The 25,398-nt window shown below is 42.0% G+C and overlaps 1 protein-coding gene and 2 long non-coding RNA genes across 5 annotated transcripts in view, besides 1 other annotated feature; 1 reads left to right on the top strand and 2 right to left on the bottom strand.

Moving 5' to 3' along the window:
* Window positions 1–25,398, bottom strand: part of SERGEF (secretion regulating guanine nucleotide exchange factor) — a 225,000-nt gene that overhangs the window by 55,233 nt on the left and 144,369 nt on the right. The window lies entirely within an intron of this gene.
* Window positions 4,023–23,601, bottom strand: LOC124902642 (uncharacterized). The gene is made up of 2 exons (XR_007062610.1): window positions 23,511–23,601; window positions 4,023–20,502 (listed from the first exon to the last, which is right to left on the bottom strand). It is a non-coding gene; the product is annotated as an uncharacterized LOC124902642 (long non-coding RNA).
* On the top strand, window positions 4,095–13,531 carry LOC107984317 (uncharacterized). Its single transcript, XR_001748144.2, has 2 exons — window positions 4,095–10,398; window positions 11,522–13,531. It is a non-coding gene; the product is annotated as an uncharacterized LOC107984317 (long non-coding RNA).
* Window positions 24,040–24,541: an enhancer, noted in NCBI's record as "H3K4me1 hESC enhancer chr11:17888867-17889368 (GRCh37/hg19 assembly coordinates)". NCBI's record gives its function as "activates a minimal SCP1, AML or CMV promoter by ChIP-STARR-seq in naive H9 embryonic stem cells {active_cell/tissue: H9 hESC(naive)}" and the evidence as "EXISTENCE:reporter gene assay evidence [ECO:0000049][PMID:30033119]".

Genomic DNA, 25,398 nt, shown 5'->3' on the forward strand with positions numbered 1-25,398 from the left:
CTTCCTCCCTCCTTTTACTGTCACTCATCACTGGGCATGTAAAGGAAGAAAAGAAGCTGAGATACTTGAGTTCCTACTATATGTCAAGCACTCTGCATCCATATTTTCATGTAGTAAGTCAATCCTAACAACAATCTCAAGCAACAGGTGCCATTCTCCTTATTTTACAATCAAGGAAACTGTAGTTTAAAGAGATTAAATGACTTAGGAGAAATCACTACACAGTAAGAGAAAGAGTTGAGATTCAAATCCAGTTTTCTTAGATTCCAAAGTCTGTGGTCTTTCCACTTACTGTTCTGAAGAAATCTATAATGACTGAGGATGCAGGAAACATTAAGGACATTACTTGGATGTGTATAGGTGGTATAAAGCCATGAGAGCCCATTCATTCCCTCCTTCCCTTCATTGCACCCACTGTTCACTGAGCACTACCAGTGTGTCAGACATTGCACTGGAGGACGGGGATAAAGAGATGGGTAAGATACAGCCCCTCCTCCTCAGAGGTTCACAGTCTAGTGAGAGGAGCACTCTAGGGAAAAAAGGAAAAGAGAACAATGGGAAACTGAGCAAGAGAGAAAGAAGGCAAAGGATCCTAAAACATCAGAACCAGAGGGGTTCAGGGAAGACAACTACTCAAAACCTGGCTACATCACCTGGAATTAATTACCTGGAGGACTATCAGAACTAAAAATTTCTAAGCACCCAATTCCCAAATCTATTGATCTGGAAGTGGGCCCAGGAATGTATATGTTTAATAATTATCCCAAGTGATTTGATAGAATAGTCCAGGTGACTAAAACCACTGATCCAGACCTTTCACTTTATAGATATGAGAACAGAGGGGCAGAAAGGGCAAGTGACTAGCTCAAGGACACACAGGAATCAATACTTCAGACTCAGGTATCCAATTCACAGTCAAATGACCTTTAGTCATTTTTTAAAAATTAGAATAATTTTATTTTTATACATTATATACATATTTATACATTCACATGACATTTTATGTACATGGATTAGGTAGTTCTTGACAATGTTATATGTTTACTGAAAAATGACTTTTTATAAAAATAAAGCTTGGAAAATAACAAATCAATTTAGAAGACTAAAATTATCCATGGATACACAGAACAGATATAGGTTTTCATAATTAAGAACAGTATTTTCACCCTCTCGTACCTCTGACCACCTCTTTCCTAGGCAGTCAGTATAGGGCAGAAAATTATAAATTAATCAAGGATAGTGCTTCAAGGTACTGGTTCCCAGACTGTGATGGACATAAAGAAAGAGCAATAGACAAACAAGCATTTTAGTATTTGCCAAAGCCTTGCGTCTTCCTCCACCCAGAATGGAGATGTCCTGCCCACTGAAAAAATGATGGGCCTCCTGTTGCCAGCTTCTCTGCAGTGATCTCAATCCCTTTGCCTCACAAGAGCATCAGAAAGGTCCCCTGCCCTTCCAGCTTTAGATTCCTTTCATTGGCTACATGTAGAAGACAGACATGGGCCAGGGGTATAGAGAGGCTCTACGCCAGAGGTGTCCAATCTTTTGGCGTCCCTGGGCCACACTGGAAGAAGAATTGGGCCACACAAAAAGTACACTAACAACAGCTAATGAGCTTAAAAAAAAACAAAACAAAACAAACAAACAAAAAAAACAGAACAAAAAACCCCTGTTTTAAGAAAGTTTACAAATTTGTGTTGGGCTGCATTCAAAGCTGTCCTGGGCCACATGCAGCTCGCTGCCCGTGGGTTAGCAAGGCTGCTCTAAGACAATGAGTGTAGGTAGGCCCTTCTATAGGTCCTCTGAGTTCATGGAGCAACTTCTCAGCAGCCATCTCCACCAGGTTCCCTTCTTCTGTTGTTTCACTGTGGTTTGCCTCTGTAACTGCTTGTTCGAGAACTCTGTCAGCAAACTCTACATGCTCTGCTTCAACTTCTTCATGTCCATTTTTTTTTATAGCCTTAGCATAACAAAGTTAAATTTGATTTACCTTTGGGGGCTCAGCTATCAAAGCCTACTCCTTCTTCTACTCTCAGGCCATCGGCCCTGGGGCTGATAAGGAAACACAGAAGCAGTGGTTAGAGGCGTAAGTAGAAGACTCAGTAGAGCTCACTGTTAGAAAAGCCAAGTGCAGAAAGGGTTCCAAACAGGGGCACAGCAGCAGTGCTGAGTGAAGAGGCAGCCTCAGTAGGAATGGGGTGTCTCAAGACTTGGGCTCAGCTGACTGGCCTCTCCATCCTGGCTCTGTTCACTGATATACTAGGCAAGACACACCCTTCTTTTAGCCTCATTTTTCCCATTTGTAAGTGAAGAAATTGAATTAGCTTGTGTCCATGTTTCCCATCCAGATTCTGAAATTTGAGATTTTCATTTTTTTTCCTTTGGCATTGGATACAAATGACTAAGACTGATACTGTGACTCATGTTTATAATCCATAACCACAGAGTCTGAAATCTTAGAGCTAAAAGAGATTGACCAATACAATTCTCTCTTTTCTACTCATTTGATGATAAAGAAACTAAGGTCCAGAGAGGGCCCACTTCCAGGTCTATAGAACTGGGAATTGGGTGCTTAGAAATTTGCAGTTCTGATAGTCACCAGGTGATTAAGTTCTGGAAGGGCAGGAACTATCTGTCTTGTTCTCCACTGCATTACTGGCCAGATTTTTTTAAATGCTTGTTGAGTGAATGAATGAACAAATAATCTCCCTCCAACGTCATGCAGCCTGGGACCAGGGAAGTATCCTTACTCCTTGCCTGGAGGTAGGGGCAGATAAGACTGAAGCCACAGACTGCTTCTGGCCCCTAAAGGGATGGTGCTCTCTAGCTGGGGAGACAGAACAGAGCCAGGAACAAATTCTCAAGGTTGGTGGTGCCAGCAGCTCTTGGCCATAAAGTGGGCTTCTACTAGAGTCCTTCGTGCTGTGCATAATGAATCACGGTATGTCAATTACTGCATTCTGTTAACAAGCTCATGTCCACCTGTGTATCGCCAATGAGTGCCTTGCAATTTGCCACAGCTCTGCAGTTAATACACGGCAGAACAAGTGGGGCAGAGGATTCTGAAACACTCCAGGCCCAGGGAAATCAGGTGGTTGGTTTGTTTTTGGCAACTACTGGGCTTGATGATTGGGCAGCAGTATGTAGAGATGTATTCTCTCCTCTCTGGGGAAAGGGTCTGTGTCCTGGGTCTTTCCTGTCCTGATTCAGATAAGTTCAGATGGAGAACACCATCTTTGTATTTTTTTTTCTCTGAAGTATTGAACAAAACGGGGCAGAGGCAGAATGGTAATTAAAAAATCACCTCCAGCATGGTTTGATGGTCTGGTCATCCGATCATCAGCACTGAAGTCTCTCACAGGATTCAAAAATGGCTCCATGACACATGAACACTGTGATCTTGAGTATATCTCTTAATTTCTCTGCAACTCCATTTCCACATCAGCAAAACTGGGATAATAATACTTACCTTGCAGAGATACTGCAAAGATTAAATGAGAGAATGCATATTGAACCCAGAATGGTGGCTGACATGTAGCAGGTATATAATAGATGAGCCTCCTAGTATGTTAGAGGTGTTTCCTGAAGGGATTCTAATCTCCTGAGGAAGACTAGGGCCCAAGACCTTAAGCAAACCCAGGCAAGAGCCTCTGTGTCTTAGATGTGTGTGTGTATTACCCCCTAGTGGCTCCACAGTAATGATTACAACTGCAGTCATGTGAGGATGTCAGATCTGCACCTCACCTCCACACTGGCTGTGCGAGAAGTGAGCAAGCCTCCTGGTGACAGGGGAGGCTGTTCCTTTATCAGGCAGCACCGCTGCAGCCCCTGACCTACTTTCTTACTAAAAATAGCTCTTCTTAGGTCACTGCCGCAAATTGAATTCCACTGCTTCACTGCACCCTGTAAGCAGGTGGGTGGGCGCCAGAGCACATTTGGTGAGCTGCAAGCCTCTGCTTATGTGGTGCATTGCTGCCCAAGGATGCTAATTCCACATGCCTGAGCAGACGGCAGAACGTGTCTGCACTCAGCAGGGCTGTACGTGACCCTGCTGGGGTTCCTTTATTTGGGGGGAAGGGGGACAGGGAGGGGCAGTGAGGGAAATTCTAGATCCAGTTTTGAAGTCTGACAGAACTGAATTGAAACACAGCATCCAATGCTTTCTTATTTGACCTTGGGAAAGTCACAACTTCTCTTTGCCTCAGTTTTCTCATCTGTAAAATGGAGAAAATAAAACTGACCTTAAAGTATGATTGTATAGATATTTTAAAACGCTATTTACAAAGCAGTCTTTGGCACAGAAGAGGAGCCCAATAATGAAGCTAGTACAGGTATTCTCCATTGTATGGCCTGTTGCTCCACATGCCCTCCAGCTAAAGCCTCTCATAGCAGGGGGAGCAAGGGACAGAAGGCCAATCAAAGAATTAGGAAGATTTTAAGCTGAAAGGGCTTTAGCAGTACTGAGGTCAAAGGTTCTCAGACATGGCTGAGCATCCCAATAACTGGTAGCCTGTTAATAATACTGATTCCAGGTCCTTATCCGGGAGACTGGGACTCAAGAAGTCTGTCTAGGGGCCAGGGTATCTGCAATTTAATAAGCTCTCCAGGTGATTCTGATGAACTGCCAAGTTTGAGAACCTCTGAACTAGGTCAGTCACCTTGTTAAAGTAAATGAGTAAATGAATTACTACTATTTTTCTTCCATTATAAGCACAATGCATAGTCATTATAAAATATGCAGAAAACATGGAAAAGCAAAAAATCAAAATAAAAAAGTAAAAATTCAATCATATATTGAGTGATTATTAAATGCCAGGCCCTTTGCTGAATCCTAGGGATTTGTTGATAACACAATTCTGACCCTAAGGAAGGCCCAGTCTATGTGCAGAGATGGAAACAAACAAGAAGACTGTAACAGAGGACATATGTGTTAGAGCCAAGTTACAAATTTTATAGAAAGAAGGATGAAGGAGCAACTGATTCCACCTAGGAAGTCAGGGAAATTTGCAGAGCTGGACTAGAAGAAGAGCAGATATTCATGGCGAGACAAGGGAGTAAAGGGAATTTCAGGAGGAATGAACCAGACATACAAAAGCATACAGGGATGAAAGGTATTTGTTAGGAAAATGTCCTAAGGTCACCATAGTGAGGTCACCATATACAGTAAATAGTGGTGGCACAAAGACAGCTGGTGTGAACATCTGGGTCTGGATCATGAAGGGTGTGGATAACATCAACAATGCTTCCTACACTGGAAAGTATATTTCCCAGTATATTTTTCATATGTGCCTTTTTGTTTTCATTTTTACATGACCAATGCTGCAATTCTTACTTAATAAACACTACAAATTAGTGAAGCAGATAGGTCATCTTTTATCCATTACCAAATGTTAGTAAAATTAGGTAGCTCCTAATTTTACTAAATTATAAAAAGACTATGATGAACATCTTTAACCATAAAGTTTTTTTCCATATTTAAGATCTTTCCTTAGAGAAGAATGCTAGGATATGAATTAATAAATGAAAGTGAATGGACATCTTCAAGGCTCTTGATAATAGCTCCAAAGGATTTTCCAAAAGTGGCACAGATGTTTTTATAAATGAGGAGATAAGGCCCAAAGAGGTTCCATGTCTTGTCCAGATTATACAGTCGAATGGGGCGGTACCAAGAGCAACATCTGGGTCTCCCAACCCCCACTCTAGCTCTCTTTCTTCTGACCACATTGCTTTTCTACAAATCATAGAGAGATGAAATAATATCTATTCACCCAATGCTTCCAATCAATTCTAAGTATTTTAGGTTGGCAATGTACATGCATAGGAGATGTGAGTAACATGTGTGTGTTTACATGCACATGTGAAGCTCTATATACGAGTCTATTTTTCCATCCTTATCATGTATGCTCCCCTACCAATGACAATTTTTGTTCTAGCCAAGCTGAGCAAATCTTACATTGTCTTACCTCCACACCGTTGATCCTACATGAAGTATCTCTTGTTCTCCTAGTCAAATTCTATGCATATTTTTAAAATCCAAAAAGCATTTCCTGACTCTGGGCACTTACTATCAACAAGAGTCATACGTGATACTTACTTTATTGCTTTGCAGCAGCTCTGGTATTGATATAAAATTATTTAAGTTTTACCTATACAATAAAAGCTGCCTCCAGCTTCTGTTATTAGAAAGGGATAAAACAACCCCCCCAACCCCACCCTTGAGGCTAATGAAAAGACTTCTAGCATTTGATGGGCTGAAGACAGGTAAGGCCAATCCCTTGTACCTTCTATATCTACAGTAGTAGACATCTTGGTAGACTGGAAAGAGCACAGGACCAGGAGACAGAATAATAATAGCTTCCATGTGCTGAGGACCTACTCTGACCAGGCACAATGCTGGTTGCTTTATATACATTATTTAGAATCCTTAAAATTACCCCCAGCAAGGGAAATATTATTTGACCCATTTTACAGATGAGGAATCTTAGGACCTGAGAGATTAATTTATTCACGGTCAATACCATCAGTAAGTGGCAAAATCAGGATTTAAACTCAAGTATGTCTTACTCAAAAATCTATGTTTTTTTCTGCTTTACTATATTATGTCTCAGCAAATGTCATTTCAGTTCTATCTCTGTTACTTTCAAGATACATGATCTTCTCCTGGTCTTTTTTTCTGTTGCTATAACCGAATACCACAGGCTGGATAATTTATAAAGAAGTTGATTTGGCTCACAGTTCTGGAGGCTGGAAAGTCCAAGAGCATGGTGCTGGTATCTAGTGAGGGTCATGCTAGGGTGGACAGGTGGAAGGAGAAGAGAACACATGCGAGAGAGAGCTTATATTTTTAACAAAGCCACTCCAGCAATAACTAACCTACTCCCACAATAATGACATAAATCCATTCATAAGGGTTGATCCCCCATGACCCAATCAGCTTCCAAAGGCCCCACTCCCAGCACTGTTACACTGGGGACCAAGTTTCTAACACAGGAATTTTTGAGGAGCATATTCAAACCATAGCAGATGCCTAACAGGACATTCATGCTCTCCAAATCCTAGCCTCCTCAGTAACAACATGGGGATAATCATCTTCCCATCCTGCCCTTTACTCCCAACACACACGTACACATACAGGGCTGTTGCAATGATTAAATGTTATAATGAGTGTAAAAGACCCAGACAGACATATGGGTTGTTATTAGAGTCCTGAACAGCACAACTGATCATTCTGGTGATAAATGGACATCCTGCCAAGATCCTCTGTCACTTAAAGAGAATTTAATTACGCTCACTAGACAGCTCCTTCTAGCATCAGAGAGTGAATGTTTGCAATGCATTTCATAATGACTTTCAATAAGGCCTGAAACCAAGAGGTTAATACTCTGAGAAAAATCCATTAACCAAAATACTGCATTCTTGGAGTACTCTGGTAATCATGGCTCCCTGGGATATTTTCCCACTCTATCACATATATGTATGCATTTCTATATACACTTGCACACATCTTTCACTGGCAGCCTATTTCTAGAAAGCAGGATTCAGCAAAAGGGAAGCTGGGCTTGGATTCCACCACCAGGGGGGCAATTGTAAATGGGCTGGGGGACATTTATTTCAGTTTTCCAGAGGTTTCTGGTGAAATGTTAGGAGACCTGGCTGAGGTGTCAGGAGACCTGGGTTGTAGTTCACATTCTGCTGCTTATTCACTATATAACATTGGACAACATGCTTGACTCAGCCTCGATGTCCTTTTACATAAAATAGGGATGATACCTACCTTAGATAAATTAGCTAACCTCCCTAGGGCAGTATTTCCTCTGCTGTGAAACTGTCACAATTACTATGTATATATCTGTACCGTGTGCTGGCCCTGTGCTGAGGGCTTTGCATGTATTCTTTCACTCCTCCTTACAGTCCTGTGAGACGGGTGCTATTATCTCCAGCTGACAGAAGAGGAAACCTATGCTCAGAGGAGTTCAATAATTTGTACCAGGTCATATAACTGTTAAGTTACAGAGTTAGGATTCAAACCTTGGTCCCCTTGATTTGAAATGCAGTGCCCTTAACCTTGAAACCACATTCCTACTTACCAGAGAGCTGTTGCAAGGAAGAAATGAAGAAACATTAATTATTATGTGTCTCCTGTGTATCTAGTAGTTTGCATCCCTCTTCTGTAAGACACATGAGTACAAGGATGCTCTATAGAGCCCCCGCACATGAGGCTGCTCTGTGACTGTGGGGCCCTGTGTGGGGATATGTGCATTTTGAGAAGGCAAGGGACAGACAGGACCTGGTAGAAAAGTATTTACTGCTGTGCTCCCCAAAGTCATGAAGTCAGCCATACTAGAAACATGGATGAGGGTTATGGATGAAATTTCTCCGAAGTTTTAAAAGTTGGAGAGTTAAAGGCTGGCGTGGCAGTGACAGAATCTTGCTGAAGACTAGAGTAAAACACTTGCATTCATGCATTATTGCAGATTTTTAAGCTGATGTATCCAAGGTGACTGTGCTGGACACTAATGAGGAAAAAGATATGACTGAAATGGCAGGAGTACGTGCCTTCAGAGAAGCTGGACAACCCCACCCCCACTGCTTACACAGAAAGGATGAAGGGACACAAGGAAGAACCCACATTTTGAAATCTTAGGCTGGATTGAACTAAAAATAGACCTGTGATTCAAATGTCTATTACTGAGTTCTCTGCTTTTGCACTCTGGAAACCAGGTTGTTTCACTCCCCATCAAATCTACCTCCCTAAGGTGTTCATTCCCACAGCTTGGAGACACAGCAAAGTAAAAACTGCTGAGAGTCTAATGAGTGTGTGGTACCATGCCGGGCCCTTTATACCCATGATCTCATCTGTGCTGCACAATAACCTTGGGATGCATGTACAGAGGAGGAAACTGAGGCCCAGTTAGGTAAGATGACTTGCCCAAGGTCATTCAGCTACTAAGTGGCAATACTGGGAATTGAATGAACTCAGGTCAGTCTGACTCCCGAACCCATGCTCTTTCAAACAGAAATCCTTGCTACATTTCAAAGAGGCAGAGCTTCATTTTAAGCTTAATGAGTAATGAAAGCAACATTGCTCCCTAATTTACCTTCTGGCTCTGGGAAGGACCCAGCAAGGCAGCCATTTGAATGATTCATTCCTGTGACTGACAAGGAGACTTCTCTTGGTTATAGCTTCAGCAGCTGCTAAATCTGCTACACACCACCCCACTTCACCCCCTCCATTTGGCTCAGGTAGGTGGAATTATTTATGTAAGAATTTCAGTGGCCTCCTGCCTTAAGCATGATTATCACAGACTTTTAAGTGATAAAAATGTCATAAATCATAATAAAGGACAAAAGGAATCAGGGTCAGGGAAGGTAACAGGAAAGAAGATATTCTGAAAAGCAAAGAAGTAGGTACAGATGCAACAGGGTAACTCTCAGCATTTACATAAACACTTTCCTAGCAATTTATTCATCTGATCCTCATAATACCCTGGTAGATGTTAGTATCTCCATTTTACAGATGAAGAATGTGAGGGTTAGATCTGAGGTCCAAGGTCAGACCGTGGGTAGGATAAGAACCCAGGTCTCCTAATTCTCGCTCAGTGCTTCCCATAAGCCACTCACCCAATAAAGTGAAGACAGAAATCCATGAGAACTATCAGAGAAAGAACTCTGTAGTCTTGCCCCTCTGCATGACAGGACCAGGGAGGGGAAAGTGGCTGCGACAGTATCAGAGAGTAGTAGCACGGAGTCTGGAACTGTGGGCTCAGGAACATTTTTCAAGTCCCACCTTAGATATATACTACTACATAATTGTGTGACCCTAGGCAACTCATTTAATCTCTGCCCTGATTTCCTCACTTGTAAAACATAGCAAACAATAGTACCCACTTCATATGGTGGTTGTGATGACTAAATAGAAAAAAAAATACCATACATGAACAGTGCTTGGCGCCAAGGCAAACAATCAGTAAGTGTTAGCTGTCACTGTTTTCATCATTATCATCATGAACGTGCCCAACACACTGCTTGGCACATGAGAAATGTTAAGTGAATGTTCATTTCTTCTCCTTCCCCTTGCTCCTGTATTTCCCAAGGCACCACACCCCCATCTGTTATCTGTAGACCTGTTAAGACGAGGTCTAGGGTTGAGGAAGAGCACACAGTGCTTCTTCCCAGGCAATGTGACTGGGCTGGCCTTGTTTACTGGGGCAGTGAGCTGCTACACAAAGTCATTAATCATACGTGGTGCTATGTGCTTTCAGGTCACTCTGCAGAAATGGACAACTCCATCTGGTTTTTCCTCAGGGAGACAGAGCCTTCCCATGTATCCACGTATGGAGTTCCTATTGAGGACTCAACCTTTGCAATAGCTTCTTGGAATCTGGAAAGTCTACTAAGGTGAGTTCGTCCCTATAAAAAGGGACCAGGAGGCTGGGCACGGTGGCTCACGCCTGTAATTCCAGCACTTTGTGAGGCCGAGGCGGGTGGATCACCTGAGGTCAGGAGTTTGAGAAGCCTGGCCAACATGGCAAAACCTGTCCCTACTAAAACAAAAACAAAAAAAACATATATACACACACACAATTTAGCCAGGCACAGTGGCGCACACCTGTAGTCCCAGCTACTCGGGAGGCTGAAGCTGAGGCAGGGGAACCGCTTGAAATCGGGAGGCAGAGGTTGCAGTGAGCCAAGATCACACCACTGCACTCCAGCCTGGGGGACAGAGCGAGACACCGTCTCAAAAAAAAAAAAAAAAAAAAAGGACCAGGAAAGCAGTCTTTGCCCTGGGCCAAATTATTGCAGCAGCAAAAATAATCACAGAATAGTGACACTTACATAACATTATTAAAGCTATCACAACACCATACCCTATAGCAGGGCCACTTAGCACAAACACTGTGTACATATACATAAAGAAAAAAACTGTAATTAAGTAGCTCTGCTTCATTAAGCTTTCTCTACAGAACCAACTCCCCGACTTCTCTACAGAGCTGAAAGTTTTCATTCCAACCTTCTACCAAGTAGTCCTGTTTGGGTAAGATGCCTAGTGTTCCACAGGCATCTTACACTCAGCTATGCTAAAAAATAAATTCATTACCTTGCCCAAAGCCTATTCTTTCCTCTCTCCAGGCATCTCTCTTCTCAATGATGACATATCTACCCAGTCTACCAAGGAGAAAAGGGTACCACATCCTTGATCCTGCCCATTCTTCCCCTTCCTTTCTCAATCCTTTTCATATTAGGCCACTTAATTACTGACTAGCAATGGCTTTCAAATCTCTTCCGTACTTCCTATTTCTGCTGCCACTGCCTGTCCTTCCTGACAGTTTGCCCTGTGGATTTCAAGCTTGCTAGCCAGTCTCCACAGTTGTACAAGCCATTTCCTCACCAAAATATCTTAATTTGCATCTCCTTCTGGGTCTGTTTCTCTAGTTGAACCTGGACTGACACACTCTGTCTTTGAAACTAAAACTAAATTCTTATTTTAGTAGAATAACATTTTGTTTCTCACCTTTGACAGGTAAAAATTGATAACTGGATCATGCTAAGTTCTGGCAAGGATGTGGAGCTATAGAAATCTGCATTTACTGCTTCTGTCAAGCATCAGGCACTAAGCTCAGTCCTTTATATATATTATCCCGTCTAACTGTCATAGTTGCTCTGAGCATTTTCATTCTTTATCTACATAGGGAAACTGAGGTTCAAGGAGGTTATAATTCACTCAACGTTGCATTGCTAGGAAGGAGCAGAGCTGAGTTTCTTTCATGGACTTAGTGTCCCTCTCAAAATCACGTCAACTTCATTTGAAAATTATAATGAAACTATTAAAACTATAATATTCTTACTTTTTATACAAAATTATTATCTTTCTTTTCCAACCATACTTGTACTTGTTACAACCTCAGAAGGCCTATATAAAGTAAAGCGGGGGAGTAGGAGAGCCAGAGTATTATCTTTATTTTATAGATGTGCTATTGGAGCCCTTGGAGGGCGAGTAAATTACTTAAGGTAATTTAAATTTCATTTTAAAATTGAAGATTAACAAAGGTACCTGGACAGTTTAAGGAGCCAGATTAAAAAGACATCTTCACTAGGGGACAGTCAGTACTGGATTTGGAAACTGTCACAGTTTTAAATACAGTAGTGCCCCCTTATCTTCAGGGGACATGTTCCAAGACCCCCAAGGGATGCCTGAAATCTCAGATAGTACCAAACTATATATATTTGCTATTTTTTCCTATACAGTAACAGGCGGATAGTATATACATCATGGACACACTGGACAAAGAGATGATTCATGTTCTGGGTGGGATGGAGTGACATGGCATGAGATTTCATCACGCTACTCAAAATGTGAAACTTTTGCATTATTTCTGGAATTTTCCATTGAGTATTTTCGGACTGTGGCTGACTGCAGGTAACAGAAACTGTAGAAAGTGCAACTGCAGATAAGGGGAACTACTGTTCTCCCTCTGAGACACGATTTGAAGCAAAGGGGCCTGGGCTGAGTGGTGGGAGATCTGCTTTCTTAGTCTGCCTGGGCAGGTCCTCTGGCTGGCTCACAACTGAAACATATCACTGCCCCTTCTAAGACTTGAATATTTCACTTACAGATGAAGATTGGGAACAGTTGGCTTCTGAGATCCTTTCCAGCACCAACCCACTTTAATTCTATAAACCCAACATTCCCAAGTATACCATGGTCATCTGTACTTTGCAGGCTCTCTCTAGAATGGACAAAGGTTATTCTGCAGTGTGGGCACAGATGTGGTCCTGTAATGCAAGATACTGAAAACCACATCCCCACCCCTAACCCACAAATTTCCTCTCTAGGCCTCTTTTATAGGAATGTCTTCAGACTACCCCACTGCCTATCCCACTGACAATTTAAAGGCAATATAACTAACAAGCTCATCCTTTACCCTCTGTCAATATCTCTGCTGCCCATGGCTGGCTCCCCTGTGCTCTGGCCTCCCTAGTGCAAGCTGACTCAGTCAATACCCAAGACTTACCATTTCTACCACTAGGCCCTCTCTTATATTGATTCCCAATTACACATTACTTTGTTGACTTCTTTTCATATTCCACCCTTTAGATCCTGAATTCATCATCCTTTGTGTAATAAATTCCCAGTTTTCAGAAAAAGTGAAATGGTCCCCTTCTATGCCTTCATGGAGACAGGCTGCAGCTGGAGCCTTTTGGCAGCCAAAAGAGACCCCTTTGCAGCTCTTAACAATCTGTTACTGAATAATTTGAGAGAATATTGCTAATTATGAACCTGTGTCTTTAGATACCCAAGTCCTTAAGCTGCAGAGTACCCAGGACAAGGTTCTCCTCCTTGAGCAAGTTACCCTCTCTGCCATAGTTTCCCCATCTGTGAAACAGGTATAATAATAGTACCTACCTTACTGTTGATGTAAAGAATCAATTAATAATGTATGTAAAATGTGTAAAACCACACATAGATCAATAATGTCAACTATTACTGTTATTATGGTTCAATAAATATTTGACAGTTGGTCACACAGTGTGTTGGCTTCCTGGACTCTTCTTCCCCCTTAACTTTCCTAAAAAGCCAAGCTATTGAAGTCATTATCTTTTTTTGTTTCTTAAATCACATTTGAGTTCATATGGTGAGCCTTGGCAGAGCCCCCAAAAATAATGAAACGAAAGGAAACATGTCTAAACAGGTCTACAATTTGGCATAGCACTGGTTTGGTACAAACCTATGCAGCCTAGGGAAATGGAGAATATAATATCTCCAGTATGGGTGAGTAGCAGAAACTACCCAGAAACAAGCCAAGTCAAGGGCTCCTGAGGCCATGGACTGCTAGGTCACAGTGACAAAGGTGGGACCTTTGGAGCTCACCTCTAAAGTTGCCGACGTTCTATCTCCAGAGGGGTGTAATGTGCCAGCTGAAGTTAGGACTTGTGGGTGACCGTTCCGGACATAGCCCATAACTTGCTGTGTGACTTAGGGCAAATCATTTCCAAACTTAGGCCTTAATTTCCTCTTCTGTAAAGATTAGGCTGTTTCTAAAGTCCCCTCCACCATGAAAGTCTGTGGTTCTATGACCCCAGGGTTCTTCTTACATTAGATCAGCTAAGATTTTGCTTCTCCCCGCTCTGAAAAGCAGTCCCTCCCAGACTAGAAGCATATACGTCTTCTTTGGCTACCCTCGCCATTTGGCAAAATTAAAATTTTAAAAAGCATCTGTCTAAGAGCTCCCCATATTTTTCCCCCTTCTTGCTATGTAATGCCATTTGGTGAAAACTTCTTCAAGTAAGTTCCCAGCTGATCTTAGTAAATTTCCTTCACAAGAAGTATTCATCTCAGAGGTGCTGCCCGAATAAAATGAACAGACTCACAAAACTCACAAATACAAAGGCCACGGTGCCAAGGCTTCAGCTTTGAGTGGCTTCCCTTCTGTCATACTGTGCAGTCACACAACTTCCAGCCTGCCTCACATTCTCAGGGCCACTGTGGGACCACTTTCTCTATCCTTGTCAGCTGTGGCCTACAAAGAGCAGTAGGAACTTCCATTAATCGGGATAGATTGAGCCCACACCTTTATCTCTATTTCCTTCCAAAACCCTCTTAAGCCAACTGTAAAGGAACAAAGAAAGTATGAATCCACCAAGAAAAGAGGAATAGAAGAAGAAACAAGATAGTTCAACACATTTCAGATGAATACCACAGATGAAGGAGGTAACTGATTATGCAGAGTGGAGGAGGCTGAAACCCTGTGCCTGCTGCAGGGAACAGTGAGAAGGAAACAAATTTTGTCTTGGAAGACAATGAAAAGCCTCAGGACTGAGAAGCACCAAGTGTCTTTGAAAGTCGGGTAAGGATAGGGCTGAAATCAGAGGCGTTGCCTGAAAGTATATTTATGGGGGGTAGTTAGATGCCCAGATTCTCCCCAACACACATAACTAGGCAACCTATCTCTTGCTATACCTAACGAACACCACACATTTATTATCTGGCGAAACTGACCCAGGGCAGCCCTGGACCTGGAAGAAGAGTCATCAGAGGGTGGGAGTGAGGATCAGAATGAAACAAATGGGTTAAGTGAGTAAGTGACAGTCTATGTAAAGGATGATGGGACTCCCCCCAGCCCCCTTCCGGCATCCTGCTCCAGAAAGTCAACAACTAAGCATATACACCCCAAGACAGAAGATTAGGGGAAAAGTTCATAAATATTGATCTCTGGAAGTTTACCAATGGAAAAGCTTCCCCAACTCATCAGTCCAAACATCTTACAAGGAAGTCAGCAGCCAGTGCATCCTCCCCATGCCCACAGAGTCTCATGTAGTATCTCTTTTCAATATAAACAGCCAGCTAAAGATCATCAGATCTTTAGAGAGGAAAACCTCTGTATCAGTTAGAATCTCAGCAGAAGACCACATCAAACTGGACAGCAGGTGAGAGTTTAATAAAGGAACCATTTACAGAGGTATGGACAATGTTTATATTCCAGGACTACTAGATAAAACTAGAGCTCTACCACCTCTAAGCCTGAAGAAGTAAGGGAAAGGAGTGGTTACCCTTGGAGAGGGTGAATTGGAGAGGGTGAAGTTAAGGAGAGGGACACCAGACTGGAATCCCTGATAGAGGGATGCAGCCATGGCAGGTAAGCAGGGAGAAGCTAGGAGAATAAATACCCTGACCTCGTTGTTTTTCAGTCCTGAGATCTGCCGTTCCTCTCATTAGCTGAACCCAACCAGAAGCCAGAGGGCCAGTTGATGCAGGCCATAGAGAGGCCATCCTCCCTAGGGATATATGGAGTGTGAAAAAAGGTGGATAATGCATCTACAGGGCAAACAAAAAACATAAAGCACAGTCTCCAGTGTGAAAGACAGAACCCAAAACAAAGAAATAGAAAATTAAAAATTGGAAAAAAACAGAGTCAAGGCAGAGAAGAAAACATTTGTTTAAACTCTATAATTAATATCCATAGAAAAATGATAGATGATATGGCAATATAAACAAGAACAGAAAACTATTTTAAAGGATTAAAAATAAGAAAGAACCTTAGAAATTAAAAATAATAGCTGAATAAAAGTTCCATTAGAAAAGTTGGAAGATCAAGTCAAAAAATTTTCTCACAAAGTGGTAAGAAAAGTAAAAACATGCCCAAGAGGAAAGAAAAGATAAGAAAATTAGGAGTCAGGAAATTCAATATACATTCAATAGAAGTCCCTGAAAGACAGAACAAAGAAAAATAAGGAAAAAATTGTAAAACAATTTCAAGAAAGATTTCCCAGAACTGGCAGGCCTAAGCCTCTGGACTGAGAAGGCTCAATAAATACCAGAACAATGAATAAAGAAGATACATATCAAGGCATGTCATCATAAAATTTCAAAACACTGAAGTAAAGAGAAGTTCCTAAGAATTTCAAGGAAAAAAAAATGGCAACGTACAAAGAAACAGGAATTAGAAAAAGCAGCAGACTTCTCAATAGTAACATTAGATGCTAGAGGACAATGGGAAATGCATGCAAAAGTCAGAATGAAAAAAATTGCCAACCTAGATTTCTACAAACAGTGAAAGTGTCAATCAAATGTGAAAATAGAGTAAGTATATTTTCAGAATTTCAAAGAACCAAAAAATTTATCTTCAACTCCTCTTTTCCGGGAAAGGTACTGAGTCCTGTGCCCCACCAAAATGAGACTAATCTAAAGAAGAAGGAAGATAGGGAACAGGGATTTAACACAGGGAAATGGTATAGAGAAGTCATCACGTAACCACGGTGCAGGCCTAGAGTAACCATTTCAGAGTGGAACAGAAAGGCTGAACCCCAGAGTGGCATGTGGTGAAAGTGGGGGTGGGGAGACTGCTGAAAGAGTTGACGTCTTTGACCATGTTGCAAAGCGTGTAAGAGGTGTTTTATAGATGTTTTGGAGGCATTTGGGAACAATTAGTAATTGGTATATAGAAAGTCAGTTAAAGGAAGGGGAAAATAAACAGGCAAGTTTAACTCCAGGAAAAGAAAAGTATAGCATAGGAACCATATCATGATATATTACTTGGCTTAGCAGTGAGAACAGTATTTACACTACTCATAATAATAGACTAATGACTTAACTACACGTGAGGATGGAGGGAAGGGAAATGAAGGTGGTGGTATAAGATAATTAAATTTTTATTTATAAGAAAGCAACAGATAAAATTTATTTTAAAATTGATATCTTAAATAGACATTTAGTTTAGAAATATAGAGATAGACACCCCAAAATAATTCAAAATGGTTGGCTCCGGAAATTGGACAAAAGAGTGGGAAAAGGTGAGGCAGAAATTGCCATTACTAAGCCTTTTAGTATTTAGAAAATTTTTAAACTATGTACATACACTATTTTGTAATAAACAAAAGGTAATCTAATTTAAGAGTGCATGCTCCAGAATCAGATAACCTAGCTCAAATCCTGGTTTCATCAAATATGAGTTTAAGATCTTAATAGGTTTAGCTTTTCTGAGCCTCATTTTCCTCATCTGTAGAACAGGGTTATATGTTAAGAATACAGAAGCGTATGTAAGATACACACACAGTGGATGTAACAGTGTGTAAGAGCTTAGTGAGACAGTGTAAGAGTTGAGTCCGGCACTTGGCATACAGTAAGTTCCCTGAGGAGCAAGAAGGGATCATCATGAGATGGTCAGATCACCTCAGCTTTGTTTCAAGAGTGAAGGCTAAACCCTCTCCACCCTAACACCCACAATAATCAGGTAGCAAGCAGTGAGGGAAAGGGCCATTTCCTATGTCCTCTCACTTCATCCACAAGGCTTAGCTTCATATTGTGTACCCAGGAAGAACATTTCCAGTAATGCATGTCTGTGGCATTGACTTAAGAATAGAGGAGCAAGAGAGATGACAAAGAGGGCCATATGGGAAGCAAGGCGAAACACCAGAAAGAGCACTGAAGTGAGTCAGAGGAAACAGAAACAGACATTCTGAGCACCTACTCTGTGCCAAGAGCTTTTCCATAAACCACATAATTCGCTCCAATGATACACACATACAGAAGCTATTATTATCTCAGTCTTTAAGGATGAGAAACCCACAGTTTAGAGAGGGTGGCAATCTTGCCCGTGGTCAGATATCAAGATATTAAGCAGCAGAACTGGAAATGGAACCCATGACTTAACAACTCCAAGGCCTCATGCCCCTTACACTACATTATGCTGCTTGGGGCAAATCATGCAATCCTTCTGAGATTCCATTTCCCCACTGTACAGTAGGGATTGTACTTTCTCTGAGAACTTCAGAGTTACTGTAAGAATGAAAAGAGTTGGTGAGTCAAAGAGCCTGATACACTATGAAGCAGTGAGCACACATGAGGACCTACTGACACATGCATGCGTGCCGCAAGGGCTACACTGTGGAGCTTCCTAAGTCAGCTGTTTGGCTTGGTTGTCATGGGAAGAGAAAAGGGCTGGCTTTGGCCTAGGCCTGGAGTTGCCAACTAGAATGGGGCAGAATCTGGATAAAGGAGTCTGATGGGGATTCTAGAGCCACAGTCAGACTGTAAATCATGACATCCCCTATCCAATAGGTCGGTAGCATCTTGTCTCGCTAAAAAGCAAAAACTTACCAAATTAATATCTTACAAAGCCACAAGATTGAAACCACTGCCATTCCTCCCAGGTTTCTCTGTTGAACAGTACTAGCTTCTAAAAATAGATCAAATCAAGTCATTTCTCTGCTTTAAAACCTTTCCTGCACCTTTACCCCACAGGATGAAGTTCTAGTTCCTTAGCCTGACATTAAAGCTTTTACGATCTGAACGTAGCCATCACTGTAGCCTTGTCTCCCACTGCTCTGCTCCCCTCCAGAGGCCCTCATTTCCCCCAGTTTGCCATGCCTTCTCCATACTTTTGTTCATGTTGATCATATTCCCTGGAATACCTTTCTCTTCTTCATACTCATCCGTTAAGACCCACTTCAAGGATCATCTCTTCTAAGAAGCATTCCCTAACCCCATGTTAGGATGAAGGTGTGAATTTACAGCTAAACAAAACAGCCTCAAAGTGAGAGAGCTAGTAGAGACCTCAAAGATTATCTTACTCAATTCTCCTATTTTATCCATAAAGAAAAGGAGGCCTGTAGAAGGAAAGTGGCCTGCCCAAGGTGTCAGCAGCTTGTCTAGTACTCAGGTATTCTGTCCCAGTACTCTTCCTATTGCATGGTACAGCTTCTTAATAAATGAATTCATGAATGGACAAATAGGCAAACCGAATGTTGCTAAAGCACTGCCCAGGGACAGCACGGTGAATGAATAGTCATAGCTGTTCTACATTTAAGGGCTTTAGGTGCACCAAGGAGGAACAGAGGATTCCAGAGGCAAGAGGCAGCAGGGACAGCAGTCATAGGACAGGTGATACAGAGGGGCACTAGCATAAGCTGAGGCCTGTGGATGCGGAGAGGCAATACTGTGAGTCTGAGTTTTGCAGATACGATGGTGCTGCCCAGGCTCAGGAAGCTAGTGCCTGTCTAAGGAAGGACAGAGCAGGCTCATGGGCTGGACTGCCTGGCCATTGTCAAAGCTGCCCAATGTCACATGTGGTTGTCCCCTAGTTGCTATGCTATGGTAGATAAGACAAAAGGATGGGGGCTGGTCTCTGCCCCTACAAACAAGTACCATCAGTAATGCTAGCTCTGCTGTTGCTTTTTCCTGTCTTCCAAAGCCACATGCATATTAAAAGTTCAGTTTATGCTGCTTGATATGCTAATTAACCTAAGTCAAACCTCTGCAGGGAGCAGCACAAGAAGCGGCAAGTGCAGACCTTGCAGTCAGCAGACCTTAGTTTGAATTCTGGGCTCTACTTCTTTGAGTTCTCATCTGAAAAACGGGGACAATTTCTATCTACTTTCTACCCTGCATGGTGATAACTAAGTGAGATGATATATGCAAAATGTTCAGAATAGTGTCAGCACTTTGTACTTAACTACATCACTTCAGTTTTACTCTGTAAAAAGGTATTATCCTTTAACGAAAAAAAAGTTTTATCTGCTATAATTGTCAACTTCTGAAGAATCTTCCTAAATAACCCACGATAGTTCTACACTGTCTAAACAATAAAGTCAATGCCTTTCAGCATGCTGTTGGAGACCTGGTCCTAAGCTGTTTTGCTGGCTGACCACTTGTCCCTCAACCATTCACACTTTAGAGCCTTCTTTCCCTTTGCTCATGCTTATCCCTCAGCACAGAATGCTGCTCTTTACCCTTCCTCCACTGAGGAGCCACTTCTTCCATAAGGATTTCCAAAATCAATCATTCTTACCTCTTCATTCTTTCTCCTAGTTCTTATCATGGTCTGCTTTGTATTCATTCATTCATTCATTCATTCATTCAGTATTTAAGTCCAAAGTATGGCCAAATTTAATTCCCATAGCTCTCTTTCCCACTAAATGTGAGTTCCATGAATGTGAATTCCATGAATGTTGTATTCCTCCACAGCATCCATAACACTACATGGCACATCATCAGACACTAGTAAGCTGAAAGGAGAGAATGAGAAAATATTGCATATAATGTTCATTGAGTATTTAACAAACACATGAAGCACCTATTGCATGCATGGCAAGTATAGATGGTCTGAGTCTATGAAGATGTTAAACACAGTTTGTGGACATGAAGACAGACTTTGAGAGTTGCAGAAGACTTTAGAAATTGTCTAGTCCAGCTCCCACATTTCCCAGATGGGGATTCTAGAGGCCCAGAGAAGGAGAGTAACTGCCTAGGATAACACAGAGAGTTATCACCATAACTCTAGTTATGGTGCACAGTGGAAGGCTGTCTCTAACTTGCTCTAATTTTTTGTATTTTCCTCTTTGAGTTCACATTAGATTTACTTTCGCAAGGCCTCAAGCCTCTTGAGTAACTGTAAACAAGTGCAGTGGGTCACAAATGCAGTTTCTACTACTGTAAGCAACCCTAAAAAGGACCAGAGCATTGTGCTAAACAGGTGGTCAACCTTGTGCCTAAAATGGCCAGCATGAAAGAGTAATTTAGCAAGTATGGGAGCCTCCTCAACAGCCTGGCACCCTCACCTGTGGTGTCATATAGAATGACTCCTGTGGAGTGATATAAATGTCGCTTCTTTAGGAACAGTGAAAAATCCACCTTGATTGAGAGGTAAAAAGTTACATCTTGGGATTTGAAGCTATGCCTTGAAAATGTATGACTTAACAGAAATGTGACTTGAGCAATAAGCAAGATTCTGTAAAAAAAACACTCTGTATTTATTGTGAAACATCTTTCTTAAATGTAAAAGGTTTATCATGTTTCTGGCCTGTTGGAGAGGAAAATATGGTGCCCCAAGCGGCCAGGTGTGGTAGTGGCAACGAATATATCAGTTCCAGGGCTGAGAAAGGCAAGATCTGGGACAGAGCACTGGTAACCAAGAGAGCTAAAAAACTGTTGCTCTGCCTTTAGCTGCTGTCTCCCTGTCTGGCAAACAGCTCAGGCAACCACTTGAGAAAGCCCCTTGAGAACCAGGCACCATCTCCTTCTGAATAGCACAAGCTAAACTTGAGTGCTAGTCCCAGCTCTGCTACTGACCAGCTGTGCAATTTTGGGTAATGCCTTAGGACTGCTCTCGTAGCAACAGGACCCAGGAAGGCAGCCAAAGAATTCAATAAACAGTTTTGAGATAACTGATCAGCCATTTAAAAAATTGTGAGGCTGAATGCACACCTGACTTATACCAGGATAAATTCCATATGGATCGAAGATTTAGATGCCAAAAATAAAACCATAAAAATATAGTCATGCTATTTTGTTGACCAAAACATCACCAAGTTTCGGTCAACAACTGGACCATATATACAATGGTAGTCCCATAAGATTATAAGGGAGCTGAAAAAATTCCTATTGCCTACTGCCATAGTAGCTGTGATAATGTTGTAACACAACACATTACTCACATGTTTGTGATGATGCTGGTGTAAACAAACCTACTGTGCTTCTAGTCATATAAAAGTCTACCACATACAATTATGTACAGTATGTAATAATACTTGATAAATAAATGACTATGTTACTGGTTTGTGTATTTACTATACTATACTTTTTATTGTTATTTTGGAGTGTATTCCTTCTACTTATCTTTTTTTTAAGTTAACTGTAAAAATACCTCCTAAAAGGCAGGTCCTTCAGGAGATATTACAGAAGAAGGCATTGTTACCATTGGAGATGATGGCTCCATACATGCCTCTGAAGACCTTCCAGTGAGACAAGATGTGGAGGTGAAAGACAGTGATATTGATAATTCTGACCCCGTACAGGCCTGAGCTAATGTGTGTGTTTGTGTTTTAAACAAAAAAGTTTAAAAAGCAAAATAATAATAATAATAATTTAAGAAATAGAAAATAGCTTATAAAATATATTAAAAAATATTTTTGTACTGTGTACAATGTGTTTTAAGCTGTGTTATTACAAGAGTAAAAAAGTTTTTTAAAGTTCATAAAGCAACATGTTATAGTAAGCTATGGTTAATTTACGTTTGAAGAAAGAGATTTTTTGTGTGTAATTCAGTGTAGCCTAAGTGCACAGTATTTACAGCCTAAGTGTATAGTGTTTATAAAGGCTACAGTAGTATATAATAATGTCCTGGGCCTTCATATTCACTCATCACTCACTCACTGACTCACCCAGAACAACTTCCAGTCCTGAAAGCTCCATTCATAGTAAATGCCGTATACAGATGTATCATCTTTAATCTTTTGTACCATATTTTGCCTGAGAAAGGCAAGACCTGGGACAGAGCACTGGTAACCAATAGAACTAAAAAACTGTTGCTCTGCCTTTAGCTGCTGTCTCCCTGTCTGGCAAACAGCTCAAGCAACCACTTGAGAAAGCCCCTTGAGAATCAGGCACCATCTCCTTCTGAATAGCACAAGCTAGACTTGAGTGCTAGTCCCAGCTCTGCTACTGACCAGCTGTGCAATTTTGGGTAATGCCTTACGGCTGCTCTGGTAGCAACAGGACCCAGGAAGGCAGCCAAAGAACTCCATAAATAGTTTTCAGATAACTGATCAGCCATTGTGTTACAATTGCCTACAGTATTCAGTACAGTAACATGCTGTCCAGGTTTATAGCCCAGGAGCAACAGGCTAAACCATATAGCCTAGGTGTGTACTAGGCTATACCATCTAGGTTTGTTAAGTACACTTTATATTGCTTATGACAAAATCATCTAATGACACATTTCTCAGAACATATCCCCCCTTTTTGAGAGAGAGGGAGTCTTGCTCTGTCACCCAGGCTGGAGTCCAGTGGCAGGATCTTGGCTCGCTACAACCTCCGCCTCCCTGGTTCAAACAATTCTTGTGCCTCAGCCTCCCAAGTAACTGGGATTACAGGCATGTGCCACTAAGCCCAGCTAATTTTTTTGTATTTTTAGTAGAGACGCGGTTTCACCATTTTATTAGTCTGTTTTAACACTGTTAATAAAGACAACCCAAGACTGGGTAATTTATAAAAGAAAGAGATTTAATGGACTTACAGTTCCATGTGGTTGGGGAGGCCTCACAATCGTGGCAGAAGACAAGGAGAAGCAAGTCACATCTTACACTGATGGTGGCAGGCAAAGAGAGAGCTTGTGCAGAGAAACTCCCCTTTTTAAAACCATCAGATCTCGTGAGACTTATTCACTATCACAAGAGCAGCACAGGAAAGACCTGCCTCCGTGATTCCATTACCTCCCACTGTGTCTCTCCTACAACACATGGGAATTCAAGATGAGATCTGGGACACAGCCAAACCATATCATTCTGCCCCTGGCCCCTCCTAAATCTCATGTCCTCACATTTCAAAACCAATCATGTTTTCTTAACAGTGTCCTAAAGTCTTAATTCATTTCAGCATTAACTCAAAAGTCCACAGTCCAAAGTCTCATATGAGACAAGGCAAGTCCCTTCTGCCTATGAGCCTGTAAAATCAAAAGTAAGTTAGTTGCTTCTTAGATACAATGGGGGTACAGGCTTTGGGTAAATATAGCCATTCAAAATGGGAGAAATTGGCCAAAACAAAGGGGCCACAGGCCCCATGCAAGTCCAAAATCCAGTAGCGTAGTCAAATCTTAAAGTTCCAAAATGATCTCCATTGCCTCCATGTCTCACAGCCAGGTCATGCTGATGTTAACAGGTGGGTTCCCATGGTCTTGGGCAGCTCTGCCCCTGTGGTTTTGCAGGGTACAGCCTCCTTCCTAGCTGCTTTCATGGGTTGGCACTGAGTGTCTGTGGCTTTTGCAGGTGCACAGCTGTCAGTGGATCTACCATTCTGGGGCCTGGAGGATAGTGGCCCTCTTCTCACCGCTCCACTAGGCAGTGCCCCAGTAGGGAGTCTGTGTCGGGGCTCTGACCCCACATTTCCCTTCCACACTGCTCTAGCAGAAGTTCTCCATGAAGGCCCCACCACTGTAGCAAAATTTTGTCTGGGCATCCAGGAATTTCCATACATCTTCTGAAACCTAGGCAGAGGTTCCCAAACCCCAATTCTTGACTTTGGTGCACTCGCAGGCTCGACACCATGTGGAAGCTGCCAAGGCTTGAGGCTTGTACCCACTGAAGCCACGGCCAGGGCTCTACATTGGCCCCTTTCAGCCACAACTGGAGTGGCTGGGACACAGGGCACCAAGTCCCTAGGCTGCATACAGTAGGGGCACCCTGGACCCAGCCCAGAAAACCGTCTTTTCCTTCTAGGCCTCTGGGTCTGTGATAAGAGGGGCTGCCATCAAGACCCCTGACATGCCCTGGAGACATTTTCCCTATTGTCTTGGGGATTAACATTTGGCTCCTTGTTACTTATGCAAATTTCTGCAACTGGCTTGAATTTCTCTTTAGAAAAATGGGATTTTCTTTTCTATCACATCATCAGGCTGTAAATTTTCTGAAACTTTATGCTCTGTTTCCCTTTTAAAACTGAACGCCTTTAACAGTGCCCAAGTCACCTGTTGAATGCTTTGCTGCTTAGAAATTTCTTCCACCACATACCCTAAATCATTTCTCTCAAGTTCAAAGTTCCACAAATCTCTAGGGCAGAGGCAAAATGCCACCAGTCTCTTTGTTAAAACACAACAAGGATCACCTTTACTCCAGTTCCCAACAAGTTCCTCATCTCCATCTTAGACCACCTGAGTCTGGATTCCATTGTCCATATCATTATCAGTATTTTGATCAAAGTCACTCAACAAGTCTCTAGGGGGCTCCAAACTTTCCCACATTTTCCTGTCTTCTTCTGATCCCTCCAGACTGTTCCAACCTCTGTCTGTTACCCAGTTCCAAAGTCGCACCCACATTTTCGGGTATCTTTTCAGCAGCACCCTACTCCTGGTATCAATTTACTGTATTAGTCCATTTTCATGCTGCTAATAAAGACATACCTGAGACTGG

The sequence above is a fragment of the Homo sapiens genome, chromosome 11, assembly GCF_000001405.40.
Source record: "Homo sapiens chromosome 11, GRCh38.p14 Primary Assembly".
NCBI classification, from domain to species: Eukaryota; Metazoa; Chordata; class Mammalia; order Primates; family Hominidae; genus Homo; species Homo sapiens.